Source organism: Homo sapiens, chromosome 19 (genome assembly GCF_000001405.40).
Source record: "Homo sapiens chromosome 19, GRCh38.p14 Primary Assembly".
Classification (NCBI taxonomy): Eukaryota; Metazoa; Chordata; class Mammalia; order Primates; family Hominidae; genus Homo; species Homo sapiens.
Genome location: NC_000019.10, coordinates 9,745,535 through 9,761,209, shown reverse-complemented (window position 1 = coordinate 9,761,209; position 15,675 = coordinate 9,745,535). Strand labels below are relative to the sequence as shown.

Here is a 15,675-nt window from a genome sequence, read left to right as displayed (position 1 = left end):
TTTGTTTGAGACAGAGTCTCTCTCTGTTGCCCAGGATAGAGTCCAGTGGAGCCATCTTGGCTCACTGCAACCTCCATCAGCTTCCTGGCTTCAAGTGATTCTCCTGCCTCAGCCTTCTGAGTAGTTGGGACTACAGGCGTGCGCCACCATGCCTGGTGAATTTTTGTGTTTTTTGATAGAGATGGAGTTTCACCATGTTGGCCAGGCTGGTCTCAAACTCCTGACCTCAAGTGACCCACCTGCCTCCGTCTCCCAAAGTGTTGGGATTACAGGCATGAGCCAGTGTGCTTGGTCTAGTTTCAAAGCATTACCATCACACCAAAAGGAAACCATATACCCATCAAGTAGTCAGTCCCCACTCACCCTACAGAGACTAATTTGCTTTCTCTCTCTACGGATTTACCCTTTCTGTATATCTTATATAAATGGAATCATACAATGTAACCTTTTCTCTCTAGCTTCTTTCACTTAGCTATATATATATGTATATATATATTTTTTTCTTTTTTGACACAGAGTCTCACTCTGTCACCCAGGCTGGAGTGCAATGGCATGATCTTGACTCACTGCAACCTCTGCCTCCTGGTTTCAAGTGATTCTCATGACTCAGCCACTTGAGTAGCTGGGATTACAGGTGTACACCACCATGTCTGGCCAATTTTTGTATTTTTAGTAGAGACAGCACTTCACCATGTTGGCCGGGCTGGTCTCGAACTCCTGAACTCAAGTGATCCACCTACCTTGACCTCCCAAAGTGCTGGGATTATAGGCATGAACCACCACACCCAGCCCAGCACAGTTGATTCTGATAGGTTTTCTGAACTTATTAGTCATATTGTGGTAGGAAAGAGCCCTGTAGTTCTTCACTCTGCCACATTTGATTATGCTATGTCTGTTCCTTAGGCATTTTTTTTTTTTGAGACGAAGTCTTGCTCTGTAGCCCAGGCTGGAGTGCAGTGGTGGATCTCACCTCACCGCAACCTCCACCCTCTGGGTTCAAGTGATTCTCCTGCCTCAGCCTCCTGAGTAGCTGGGATTACAGGCATGCACCACTGCACCTGGCTAATTTTTTGTATTTTTAGTAGAGACAGTGTTTCACCATGTTGGCCAGGCTGGTCTTGAACTCCTAACCTCAGGTAAGCCACCTATCTAGGCCTCCAAAAGTGCTAGGATTACAGGTGTGAGCCACCACGCCCAGCCCCATAGGCTTTTAAACGACTTTATTCCACAATTTTTCTCCCAAGCTGCATTTTTCACTTTATTTCAGAATTGGATTTGCAACTCAAAACCAAAGGCTCCCCACTGCTGCAAGATATTTCTGCAGAAAGATCACCAAATGGAGTACAATTGGTAAGATTTCCAAGGGATGAAATCTTCCACACTAGGACAAGAAGCACAATATTCATGAAAATTATATGAGGAAAATGGCATTTACCCAGAGAAAACAAAGTCTGAAGAGATTCTCTGAATATCATGAATATGGGAAGCACTCTAAACTTACTACAAACATATTTCTTCTCAGAGATCTCACAAATAAACATCCACAAACATACAACTCAGCTATTCAGTTTTTTGTGCATAATTTCTTTTACTTTATTATTATTTTTGAGACAAGGTCTTACTCTGTTGCTCAGGCTGGTGTGCAATGGTGCAGTCTTGGCTCACTGCAACCTCTGTTTCCTGGGCTCAAATGATCCTCCAGCCTCAGCCTCCTGAATAGCTGAGACTACAGGCATGAGCCACCATGCCTGGCTGATTATTTTTTTTTTTGTAGAGATGGGGTTTCACCATTTTGTCCAGGCTGGTCTCAAACTCCTGAGCTCAAAGCAATCCACCTGCCTTGGCCTCCCAAAGTGCTGGGATTACAGTCATGAGCCACTGTGCCCAGCCCATAATTTAGTCTAAATAATTCTCAGATGTATTGTGGCTAATGCCTGTAATCCCAGCACTTTGGGAGGCCAAAGCGGGCAGATCACTTGAGGCCAGGAGTTGGAGACTAGCCTGGTCAACATGGCAAAAATCTGTGTTTACTAAAAATACAAAAATTAGCTGGGCATAGTGGCACATGCCTGTAATCCTAGCTACTTGGGAGGCTGAGGCCTGAGAATCCCTTGAACTGGGAGGCAGAGATTGCTGTGAGTCAAGATCGTGCCACTGCACTTCAGCCTGGGTGACAGAGTGAGAATCTTTCTTAAATAAATAAATAAATAAATATCAGACAGATTGTCTAAGAAGCTCTGTGAATGCAGAGAATATAGGCAGGCTGGTGGCCTCATTGTCCTATTACTCAACTTAACTCAAAAATGGGGCTGGAACTCTGTACATATAATGGATATGTTAAAATGTTTAAATATATTTCCAATGCATATATGTTGTGATTGGGGAGAAATTCTGTTACCATACTGAATGTGAGAAATTCTTTATTCATCTTTTATATCTCAACAGGAGAGAAGCAATACTGCAGAGAAACTGTATGACTCTAACCATTCTGGAAAAGTCTTCAATGAACACCCATTTCTTATGACTCACATGATAACTCACATTGGAGAGAAAACTTCTGAGGATAATCAGAGTGGAAAAGCCTTAAGAAAGAACTTTCCTCATAGTTTTTACAAGAAAAGTCATGCTGAGGGGAAAATGCCTAAGTGTGTTAAACATGAAAAAGCCTTCAACCAGTTTCCAAATCTTACTAGGCAGAATAAAACTCACACACAAGAGAAATTGTGTGAATGCAAAGACTGTTGGAGAACTTTTCTTAATCAGTCATCCCTTAAGTTACATATAAGATCTCACAATGGAGACAAACACTATGTATGTAAGGAATGTGGGAAAGCCTTCAGTAATTCCTCACACCTTATAGGACATGGAAGAATTCACAGTGGAGAGAAGCCCTATGTCTGTAAAGAATGTGGTAAAGCTTTCACTCAATCCACAGGACTTAAATTACACATCAGAACTCACAGTGGAGAAAAACCATATAAATGTAAAGAGTGTGGGAAAGCCTTCACCCATTCTTCATACCTTACTGATCATACAAGAATCCACAGTGGAAAGAAGCCCTATGTATGTATGGAATGTGGAAAAGCCTTCACTAGATCCACAGGACTTATTTTACACATGCGAATTCACACTGGAGAAAAGCCATATGAATGTAAGGAGTGTGGAAAAGCTTTTATTCATTCCTCATACCTTACAAAACATGTAAGGATTCACAGTGGAGAGAAGCTGTATTTATGTAAGGCATGTGGGAAAGCTTTTACTCGTTCCTCAGGACTTGTTTTACACATGAGAACACATACTGGAGAAAAGCCCTATGAATGTAAAGAATGTGGGAAAGCCTTTAATAATTCCTCAATGCTTAGTCAACATGTAAGGATTCACACTGGAGAGAAGCCATATGAATGCAAAGAATGTGGGAAAGCTTTCACTCAATCCTCGGGCCTTAGTACCCATTTAAGAACTCACACTGGAGAAAAGGCCTGTGAATGTAAGGAATGCGGTAAAGCATTTGCTCGTTCCACAAATCTTAATATGCACATGCGAACGCACACAGGAGAAAAGCCTTATGCATGTAAAGAATGTGGGAAAGCCTTCAGGTATTCCACATACCTTAACGTTCACACACGAACTCACACTGGAGCAAAACCATATGAATGTAAGAAATGTGGGAAAAACTTCACTCAATCTTCAGCACTTGCTAAACATCTAAGAACTAAGGCATGTGAAAAAACCTGAAGTGTTCCTCAGATCTTAGTATTTACATCTAAACTCATCTGGAAAAAAATCATAGGAAGGTAAAGAATATGAACAACCTTCACTGAATTTCCATATCTTATATAATAGGAATGAATTTAACATGGACACAAGTCCCAGTGATATAAGGAATAGGCAAGAGTAGTAATTCTTCACATCTTATAAAGTGTAAGAACTCACCTTTGGGAGAAAAATCTGGTTCTAAGGCATGTGGTAAAGCCTTTGTTTCTTCCACTATTGTTTATTTTTCTTTTTTTTTTTTGAGACAGAGTCTCTCTCTCTCACCCAGGCTGGAGTACAGTGGCATGACCTTGGCCCACTGCAACCTCTGCCTCCTGGGTTCAAGGAATTCTCCCACCTCAGCCTCCCGAGTAGCTGGGACTACGGGCATGTGCCACCATGCCCAGCTAATTTTTTGTATTTTTAGTAGAGACAGGGTTTCACCATGTTAGCCAGGATGGTCTCGATCTCCCGATCTCATGATCTGCCCGCCTTGGCCTTCCAAAGTACTGGGATTACAGGCTTGAGCCACCACACCCAGCATATTGTTTATTTTTCATAACAAAAATTACTGTAAAAGCCAATTGAAGGTAAGAATGAGAGATAGCCTTAAAATACTTCACAAACCTTCATAGTACTTCATAATCAACACTGGAGAAAAACCCTCTGTATGTAAGGAATGTGATAAAACATTTACTTAGTGCTCAGGACTTAATATCTACATGAGAATTCACAGTGGTATAAAACCCTACAAATGTAAAGGCTACAAGATCTTCACTTATGCCTTTTAATAACTCAACATCAAAGAACTCACAGTGGGCAGATAGCCTATATATGTAAGAAATCTGGGACAGCCTTCAGAAATTTCTGACAGTTTCAGATATAAGAAACCTCATCAATTTAAGATGTGTTAAGAATTCTTCCAGTGTTACTAAGTCAGTCAACATGCGTTGGAGAGAAACTCTATGAAGGTAAGATGTGGGAAATCTTTACTTCTGTCTCATGTGTTAATATTTGGTAATCTCAAAGAGGCCAGAAACATTATGAATGTTAGAAATATGGGAATGTCTTTATATATATATATATATATATATATATATATATATATATACACACACACACACACACATATATATGCACACACACATACACACACGTATGTATTATTTCATCCTTTAATATAAATGATAATTCATACTGGAGAGAAATCTTGATAATACAGAATGAGGGAAATGTTGCATCCATTTTACAAGTCTTACTATACTTGTGAAAACCCACACTGCAAACAAGCTATATGAATGTGAAAATATGAGAATATGCTGGGCGTGGTGACTCATGCTTGTAATCCCAGCACTTTAGGAGGCCGAGGTGGGCAGATCATTTGAGGTCAGGAGTTTGAGACCAGCCTGCCAACATGGTTAAACCTCATCTCTACTAAAAATACAAAAATTAGCCAAGTATGGTGGCGGGTGCCTTTAATCCCAATTGCTTGGGAGGCTGAGGCAGGAGAATTGTGTGAACCCAGGAGACAGAGGTTGCAGTGAGCCAAGATTTTGCCACTACACTCCAGCCTGGGTGACAGAGCAAAACTCCATCTCAAAAAAAAAAAAAATCTGGTAATACTTTTTTTTTTTTTTTTTTTTTTTTTTTTTTTTTTGAGACGGAGTCTCGCTCTGTCGCCCAGGCTGGAGTGCAGTGGCGGGATCTCGGCTCACTGCAAGCTCCGCCTCCCGGGTTCACGCCATTCTCCTGCCTCAGCCTCCCAAGTAGCTGGGACTACAGGCGCCCGCCACTACGCCCGGCTAATTTTTTGTATTTTTAGTAGAGACGGGGTTTCACCGTTTTAGCCGGGATGGTCTCGATCTCCTGACCTTGTGATCCGCCCGCTTCGGCCTCCCAAAGTGCTGGGATTACAGGCGTGAGCCACCGCGCCCGGCCTGGTAATACTTTTAGCAGTACATATTCCTTAAGTGCCTCTGAAAATACTCACTGGAAGAATAAACTATGAATCTGAGGAGTTATGGGAAGCTTTCAGATACTACTGTTACTGTACACAAGATCATACTAGAGGAGAAATTGAAATAAATGACATGAAAATGAGATTGCCTTTCTATGTGTCTTACTGTCCATGACGACTTGTCATGGACAGTAAATTTTCTGTGGTTGAAAAGTTTAATTGCTTTTAAAATTCCCCCTAGTAGAATTTTTTCTATATTTTAGTAAGAACAGCATGTGGGAGGAGTGAGGACTGGACAGTGGACTGTACAGTGGATGTTAGGATGTTATATTTAATCCCCGTGGTCACCAGGCCATGCTTCTAATTCCAGCACTTTGGGAGGCTGAGGTGTGTGGATCACAAGGTCAAGAGATTGAAACCAGCCTGGCTAACATGGTGAAACCCCGTCTCTACTAAAAATACAAAAATTAGCTGGGTGTGGTGGTGCATGCCTGTAGTCCCAGCTACTTGAGAGGCTGAGGCAGGAGGATTGCTTGAACCTGGGAGGTGGAGGTTGCAGTGACTCGAAATCGCACCATTGGACTCCAGCCTGGGCAACAAGAGTGATACTCCATCTCAAAAAAAGAAAAAAAAATCCCCATGGTAACTACATATAAAATATCAATGGAATATACACAAAATGAGACGAAAAAAAGATGTCACTAAAAAAACAAATCAACAAAAAAGGCAGTAATGTAGGAAATGAGGGACCAAAAAGCTGTAAGACATACAGAAAAAGAGTAACAAAGTGGCAAAATGAGTCTTTTTTATTGGTAATTATATGAAGGGTAAATGGGATAACTTCTCCAATCTAATGGCATAATTTGGCAAAATGGATTAAAATACACAATCCAACTGTATGTTGCCCTTTGCTTTTTTTTTTTTTTTTTTTTTTTAAGACAGAGTCTCGCTCTGTCGCCCAGGCTGGAGTGCAATGGCAAGATCCCGGCTCACTGCAACCTTCACCTCCTGGCTTCCAGAAATTCTCTCTGCCTCAGCCTCCTGAGTAGATAGGATTACAGGCACCCACCACCATGCCCAGCTAATTTTTGTAGTATTAGTAGAGACAGGGTTTTGCCATGTTGACCAGGCTGTCTCAAACTCCTGACTTCAGGTGATCTGCTCACCTCAGCCTCCCAAAGTGCTAGGATTACAGGCATGAGCCATCACGCCTGGCCATCCTTCGCTTTAGATCTAAAGACAAAAAAGGTTGAAAGTTAAATAATGGAAAAAGATCATTCCATGTAAATAGTAACCTAAAGAGAATTTGCCTGGATATATTAATATCAGACAAAGTAAACTTGAAGTAAAAAACTGATAGAAGAGAGAGTGAATGAGAGTATATACTGATAGAAGGTAAAATTCATCAAGAAGATAAAAAAATTATATGTATCAAACATCAGAGCTTAAAATACATGAAGTAAATATTGGCAAAATTAAAGGGAAAAATAGACAATTCTGCATAACAATTGGAGACCTCATTATACCACTTTCAATTTAATAGGTAGAACAGCCACGATAATATCAAGAAGGAAACAGGACAAGTACTATATAACAGTTGGCACAACCCACCCCACAACAGAAGAGAACACATTTTTCTCAAGCATATGTGGAATAGTTTCCAGGAGAAACCATGTGTTAGGCCACAAAACAAATCTTAATGAAATGTAAAAGACTGAAACACAAAGTACCATTTCAAGTCACATAGAATGAAACAAGAAATGAAAAACAAGGAAAACTGGAAAATTCACAAATACATTTTATTGTAAGCAACACACTCCTGATCTATCAATGGGTGAAGCAAGAATTCACAAGGTAAATTAGAAAACATCTTGAGACAAATGAAAACAAAGACATGGCATACCAAAATTTATGAGATGTTGCTGTAGTCTAAATTTTGTCTCCTAGGCTGGGCACGGTGGCTCACACCTGTAATCCCAGCACTTTGGGAGGCCAAGGTGGGTGGATCACAAGGTCAGGAGATTGAGACCATCCTGGCTAAGGTGGTGAAACCCTGTCTCTACTTAAAAAAAAAAAAAAAATCAGCCCAGTGTGGTGCTGGGTGCCTGTAGTCCCAGTTATCCAGGAGGCTGAGGCAGGAGAATGGTGTGAACCTGGGAGGCAGAGCTTGCAGTGAGCCAAGATCACACCACTGCATTCCAGCCTGGGTGACAGAGTGAGACTCCATGTCAAAAATAAATAAATAAATAAATAAATAAATAAATAAATAAATAAATAAATTTTGTCTCCTCAACTTGCGTATGTTGACATCTTAACTCCCAAAGTGATTGTATTAGGAGCTGGGAATTTTGGGACATGATGAAGTCATGAGGGCTCTGCAGAATGGGATTACCCCCCTCATGGAAGACACCCCAAAGATATTTCATGCCACTTCTACTGTATTTGGTTACTTCAAGAAGATGGCTCTCTGTGAACCAGGAAAAGGGCCCTCATCTGACACTGAATCTGACTGTACCTTGAGCTTTGACCTAATCTCCAGAACTCGGAGAAATAAATTTATGTTGTTTATTAACCACCAGTCTATGGTATTTTGTTATAGCAGCCTGAATGGACAGATACAGTGAAAGTAGTGAAAAGAAGGCAACTCATAGCAGTAACTACTCAAATTCAAAAAGAAGAAAGATCTCAAAGACTAAGCCAAGGAATGTTTCACAGAATTCAGCCTAAAAAGAAAAGTGCTGGAAAGGATGTAAATTAAATAATGTATGAGATAAGCAAAAAGCTTCAATATCCAGCTACAAGGCATTCTAGAATGAGAGAATAGAAAAAAAAAAAAGGGAAATCACTGAAAGAAGCAATAAGAATTTTTTTTTTTTTTTTTTTTTGGGATGAAGTCTCACTTTGTTCCCCAGGCTGGAATGCAGTGGAACAATCTCCACTCACTGCAACCTCCACCTCCCAGGTTCAAGTGATTCTCCTGCTTCAGCCTCCCGAGTAGCTGGGATCACAGGCATGCACCACCAAGCTCAGCTAATTTTGTGTATTTTTTTTTTTTGTAGAGACGAAGTTTCATCATGTTGTCCAGGCTGGTGTCAAACTCCTGACTTCAGGTGATCCACCCACCTTGGCCTCCCAAAGTGCTGGGATTATGGACGTGAGCCACCACACCCGCCCTTGAAATACTGTTTCTAAAAGGTATATGGAAGAACAATAGGCAAGGATAATCAAGACCCAGCTGATAAAAAAGGTGGAAGAACTTGCCCTAATGAATATCAAGATTAAAACTATAGTAATTAAGATGCTGTTGCATTGTACACAGACAACTAGACTATTGGTACAAAATAGTCTGGAAATAGTCACGTGTATTAGTCTGTTCTTGAGTTGTTATAAAGAAATACCTGGCTGGTCATGGTGACTCATGCATGTAATCCCAGCACTTTGGGAGGTGATCCACCCACCTCGGCCTCCGAAGTGCTGGGATTACAGGCATGAGCCACTGCACCCCGCAAGATCTCATTTTACAGTAATGTTACATGCATCCATATAAGAGACCACCTGAGCAGGCTTAGTGTGAGCAACAAGGCTGTTTATTCACTAGGGTACAAGTGGGCTGAGTTTGAGAAAGGAGTCAGTGAAGATGGTGGGATTATCATTGGTCTTATAGGTTTGGGATAGGCGGTGGAGTTAGGAGCGACTTTTTTTGTGGGCAGGGGATGGATGTTATGAAGTACATTCTCAAGAGTGGGGAGGATGTTACAAAGTACATTCACAAGGGCGGGGAGGATGTCTTGTCCCAAAGGCAGGGAGGAATGTTACAAAGTGCATTCACAAGGGCGGGGAGGATGTTACAAAGTACATTCACAAGGGCGCGGAGGGTGTATTGTCACAAGGGATGGGAGGAATGTTACAAAGTACATTCAGAAGAGCAGGGAGGGTGTTGCAAATTACATTCACAAGGGTGGGGAGGAATGTTACAATGTACATTCACAGGACAAGGAATATCACAAAGTACATTATCACAAGGGCCGGGGATGTCACAATGGTTTGACCATGGTGCGGCCAGCTCAGAGGACCTTACATTCCTGTTTTTTTATGTTAATAAGAAATAAAAATAATAAATAAAATAAGAATAGTGAAAACTTGGGGTGAAATTTTGGGGCTGTATGGAGGAGTGATGGGTGACGTTTCTCAGGGCTGCTTTGAGCAGGATTAGCGGTGGTGTGGGAACCTAAAGTGGGAGAGATTAGACTGAAGTAAGATTTTGGGGTAAGGGGTGATATTGTGGGTTTGTTAAAAGCAGCATTTGTTGTATAGAGTGATTAGTGATAGCCTGGATGCAGTTTTGTAGGAATTGAGAGATTAATCAGAAGACACAAGCCCTCAATAAGAGAAGGAGGAAGACAGGTATTAGAGAACTAACGATTGGAAGAAGCCAGGATACCCAGTTAGAGAGTGGCCAGGTGGGTCCAGCATAATTAGTTGCCTGACTAGCGAGGTTTTGAGCTCTGTTTTTGAGTTTTTTGACGTCATCATATACCAGGCCAGACTGATTAAAGTTAAACAAACACTCTTCATTAAGAAATATGCAGAGTCCTCCTTTTTCAGCAGTGAGTAAATCGAGGCCTTGGCAGTTCTGGAGGACAACTGCAGCTAAAGTGTCAACCTGGGCTTGGAGGACAGATAAAGATTGTGATATATCTGTAATGCTAAACAGAGAAGTCATTAGAGAGGCTGCAGAATGGTGTGACAGAGGTTGAGATAGCTGCTATTCCAGTTCTAAGTGCAATAGTGAAGGCAGAAATTCCTAGACCCACAAGTAAAGGGATTAATGGGATGACTCTTTTTTGTCATGTTGGTGTCATGAGGGGGACAGGCAGTTGTTCGTTCCCATTTGCAAACTGGATTTTGGGGGTAAGGAAGACTAGAGTACATGTGCCCATCCAGTTGGCAGGTGTACGTGGAAGAACCACAGAAAAATAAGAGAGCTTGTGTCAGGCATAACTGGAAATGTAAAGTGAAAAGGTGAGAGGGTGTAGTGAAAGAGGGGTCCTGCACCCAAAATCCTAGAGATCCAGCAAAGGCAGCAGCCATTAGAGGTTGTAATGGGGATTGATGGTGCAACTGCGTAGAGGGAAGGTTCAGTTCTCATGGTGTATAAGAAAGCACATAGTATCTGTGAGTAGTCTTTCACTACTATTCATGGGGCTGGGTATAAGCAAGCAAGAGGAGGGGTCAGGAGGAGAGTCAAATGAGCAGGGCGAGGGTAGCCAAAGATGGAGTGAGATGCAGGGTAGGTGTCTTCCTAAGCATTAGTGACTGCCAATGTTTTTTAGTTTGTCAGTAATGATAGAGAGCTTATCAGTAATGTGAAGTTGGAATGCTCCCATCTGTTTGGTAGTGTGTGTGGCTTGGTTCTGGAGATAAAGAGTAAAGGAACATTTGGATGGTGGAAGGTTTCCTAAAGGGATTCCAGTAGGCTGTTTTTGGGAGAAGCATAAAGGAGCAGCAACAGGGATAGTTGTTTGTGTGGTTAGGGGTCCAAATATGGGGGGGAGTGGAATTGACATAAAGAGAAAGGTGCCGTAAGTAGATGCGGAGAAGTGTGGCCGCTTTTTAATGCGAAATCTCTGGGGAGTTCTCACCAAATCTGTCTAGAAAGTAAAGAAGTTCCTCAGGTGGGTAAAGACAAGGGCTATTAAAGAAGGTTCAGAGGTGTAGGGAGACAGGAGAGGTAGCTCAGTCAGCCTGTAGAGCGGGGACGGCTGCATAAGAGCAGGAAGAAAGGGAAATGCATAGCCAACAATTTTTTACTAGAGAAGGATTGGAGGCAGTGAGGAGAGAGTGGGTGAGGTTGATACTATGCTGGAGGTAACTAGGGAGAGGTAGAGAGTGACTGGAGAATAGGGGCAAGGATAAGAGTGAGTAGAAAAGTAAAAAAAAAAAAAAAAAAAAAGAAAGACTTATCAGGATAGGAGAATTGGAATGTATCTTGCCACTGAAGATATTATATCCACTGCAAGAGAGTTAAGGGTGGCTATTTGAAGTAAAACCAGGAGATATCAGTTATGGTGACTTGGAGGAAAAGTGTAAACTGGTAAACTGGCAGCGTAAACAAGGGCAGGGCATTTACGAGTAGTTGAGAATGATGAATAGGTGTATGACTAGACAGAAGATAATAGGGATGACAAGTCTTGGGGGCACAGTCCAAGTAGTGGGGATGACTTCATAAAGCCCTGTTGCAAAAAGTAGGGTAAGGACGAATAGACCTAATAGAATGAAGGGATGTGTTAGGTTTATAAGGGCTATTACTGTTCTTCAGAAATGCGAGTGAGTTTAAGGGAAGTAGGGGAGAGTGCTTGAGACTTCCAGGAGGAAGAAGAGAGATCAGGCTGGCTGGCTGACAGACACAGCTTTATTCTGGAATGGTGAACCCAATGGGGAGGGTCCTGCAGGTGGACGGGAGTTGGGGTACTATAGATGACTAAGCAGTCCATCGCGGTTGTAGAGTTTGAGGGATCAGATTCTTAACAACAACTGATCATCCAGCTAGGGTGTCTTCATATGGCTGGGAATCTGGAGTAGGCAAGAGAAGATTAGCAGGCTGGTGAATTTCCTGTCTAGCCTGCTGGAGGACTGGAAGATAGTCGCCTAGAGGGCTGGTGTCTGGCACAAGGTGGGGGCCCAGCAAGAAGGTATGTCCATATAGTCAAATAGACTATACCCTGTAGCTTCTCGAGGACAAGCTGTAATTCTAAGGAGGGCAAACGGTAAAAGTACTGTCCAGTCTTTTTTAAGTTGAAGGCTGAGCTTGGTGAGGTATGTTTTTAAAAGACCATTAGTTCTACCAAAACAGAGATATAGACCAATGGAACAAAATAGAGCCCTTGGAAATAATACCACACATCTACAACCATCTGATCTTTGACAAACCTGACAAAAACAAGAAATGGGGAAAGGATTCCCTATTTAATAAATGTTGCCAGTTAAACTGGCTAGCCATATGTAGAAAGCTGAAACTGGATCCCTTCCTTACACCTTATACAAAAATCAGTTCGAGATGGATTAAAGACTTAAATATTAGTCCTAAAACCATAAAAACCCTAGAAGAAAACCTAGGCAATACCATTCAGGACATAGGCATGGGCTAGGACTTCATGACTAAAACACTGAAAGCAATGGCAACAAAAGCCAAAATTGACAAATGCAATCTAATTAAACTAAAGAGCTTCTGCACAGCAAACGAAACTACCATCAGAGTGAACAGGCAACCTACAGAATGGGAGAAAATTTTTACAATCTACCCATCTGACAAAGGGCTAATATCCAGAATCTACAAAGAACTTAAACAAATTTACAAGAAAAAATCAAACAACCCCATCAAAAAGTGGGTGAAGGATATGAACAGACACTTCTCAAAAGGAGATATTTGTGCAGCCAACAGACACATGGAAAAATGCTTATCATCACTGGCTATCAGAGAAATGCAAATCAAAACCACAATGAGATACCATCTCACACCAGTTAGAATGGTGATCATTAAAAAGTCAGGAAACAACAGGTGCTGGAGGGGATGTGGAGAAATAGGACCGCTTTTACACTGTTGGTGGGAGTGTAAACTAGTTCAACCATTGTGGAAGACAGTGTGGCAATTCCTCAAGGATCTAGAACTAGAAATACCATTTGACCCAGCCATCCCATTACTGGGCATATACCCAAAGGATTATAAATCATGCTGCTATAAAGACACATGCACACGTATGTTTATTGCAGCACTATTCACAATAGCAAAGACTTGGAACCAACCCAAACGTCCATCAGTGATAGACTGGATTAAGAAAATGTGGCACATATGATCCATGGAATACTATGCAGCCATAAAAAAGGATGAGTTCTTCTCCTTTATAGGGACATGGATGAAGCTGGAAACCACCATTCTGAGCAAACTATCGCAAGGACAGAAAACCAAACAAGACATGTTCTCACTCATAGGTGGGAATTGAACAATGAGAACACATGGACACAGGGTGGGGAACATCACACACTGGGGCCTGCTGGGGGGAGGGGGGAGGGATAGCATTAGGAGACATACCTAATGTAAATGACGAGTTGACGGGTGCAGCAAACCAACATGGCACATGTATACATATGTAACAAACCTGCACGTTGTGCACATGTACCCTAGAACCTAATGTAACAATAATAATAATAATAATAATAATAATAATAATAATAATAAGACTGTTAGTTCTTTCTACCTTTCCCAAATATTGAGGACAGTAGGGGCATGAAGCTTCCACTGGATGCCAAGGGCCTGGGAGACTGCTTGAGTGATCTGACTAACGAAGGCTGGTCCGTTATTGGACTGTATAGAGGTGGCAAGGCCAAACCAAGGAATTATATCTGACAGGAGGGAAGAAATGACTGTGGTGGCCTTCTCAGACCTTGTGGGAAAGGCCTCTATCCATCCAGTGAATGTATCTACCCAGACCAAAAGGTATCTTAGTTTTTTGACTTGGGGCCTATGGGTAAAGTCAATCTGATAGTCTTGGGTCGGGGGCAAATCCTCGAGCTTTTTGTGTAGGAAAGGGAGGGGGCCTGAGATATCCCTGAGGGGTGGTAGAGTAGCAGATGGAACACCGAGAAGTAATTTCCTTGAGGATGGATTTCCATGATGGAAAAGAAATGAGAGGTTCTAAGAGATGGGCCATTGGCTTGTAACCCACATGGAAGAGGTTATGAAAGGGTGATAAGATAGAATGAGCCTGTCAAGCAGGAAGGAGGAATTTTCCTTGATCCAAGAACCATTTGCCTTGAGTAGGAAGGGATTGATAGGTAATAGTTTCAGTGGGAGAATAGGTGGAAGTGATAGATGAGAAGGAAAAAAAATGGCCATGAGGGACAGATGTGGGAATACTAGCTGCTGCTTTTGCTGCATTATCAGCATAAGCGTTGCCTCGAGCAATGGGATCTGGTAACCTCTGAGGCCCCTTGCAGTGAATGACTGGCTTCCTTGGGCAGTAGAGCAGCCTTAAGGAGGATTTTTATTAAGGAAGCATTGATGATGGAGGACCCTTGTGTAGTGAGAAAACCTCTTTCTGCCCATATAACTGCATGGTAATGTACGATGTGGAAGGCATACTTGGAATCAGTGTAGATATTGACACATAGTCCCTTTACAAGGGTGAGATCTTGGGTTAAAGCAATGAGTTCGGCTTGTTGAGAGGTAATGGAAGGGTGCAGGGCAGTAGCTTCAGTGACCGATGTGGAAGACACCACAACATATCCTGCCCTTGCCGGTGACTGACGATTTGGCCTTGAAGAACTACCATCAATAAACCACGTGTGGTCTGGATTAGGAACAGGAAAGAGGGAAATATGGGGAAATGTGGAGGATGCCATATGGATTGAGAGATACAGTCATGAGGTTCAGGTTTGGTGCTAGGTATAAGGTGAACAGCTGGGTTGAAGTCTGTGCCAGGAACAATGGTAACTGTGAGAGTTTCAATGAATAGTAAGTAGAGTTGGAGGAGTCTGGAGGCAGAAAGTATATGCGCCAAGTGTGAGGAGGAAAATAGATTTTGAAAGTTATGAGAGCTGTAGAGAGTAAGTGGGGCATGGTTTATGATCTTGAGGGCCTCTAGAAGTATTGAAACAGCAGCTGCCACCACACATAGACATGAGGGCCAGCCTAGAACTTTGAAGTTAAGTTGTTTGGATAGGAAGGCTACAGGTCGTGGGCCTGGTTCCTGTGTAAGAACTCCAACCACACAGCCTTGTATTTCAGCCGTATATAAGAAGGATTGGGACAAATTAGGGAGTGCTAATGTGGGACCTGTTTCTAGGACTGTCTTTAAGGAATGAAAAGAAGAGTGGGGAAAGAACTTAGGGTTTGTGGGGTCAGTCAGGTTTCCCTTTGTGAGTTTATATAGGGGTTTAGTTAGGATGGCAAAACCTGGTATCCAAAG

At 42.1% G+C, this 15,675-nt stretch overlaps 1 protein-coding gene across 23 annotated transcripts in view; it reads left to right on the top strand.

The window, feature by feature from the left end:
- Window positions 1–12,591, top strand: part of ZNF846 (zinc finger protein 846) — a 37,542-nt gene extending 24,951 nt beyond the window's left edge. For 11 of the 23 annotated variants that reach the window (NM_001395836.1, NM_001353800.3, NM_001395831.1 and 8 more), the window contains 3 exons: window positions 1,268–1,350; window positions 2,446–3,151; window positions 8,770–12,591. In NM_001395836.1, the coding sequence (NP_001382765.1) occupies window positions 1,268–1,350; window positions 2,446–3,151; window positions 8,770–8,771 (791 nt within the window). In that variant the 3' untranslated portion in view covers window positions 8,772–12,591. Of the gene's footprint in view, window positions 1–1,267; window positions 1,351–2,445; window positions 5,854–8,769 lie in introns of those variants that run through there. The other 12 variants (NR_172869.1, NR_172870.1, NR_172873.1 and 9 more) reach the window with 3 other exon arrangements.
- The last annotated feature ends 3,084 nt before the right edge of the window (window positions 12,592–15,675 follow it).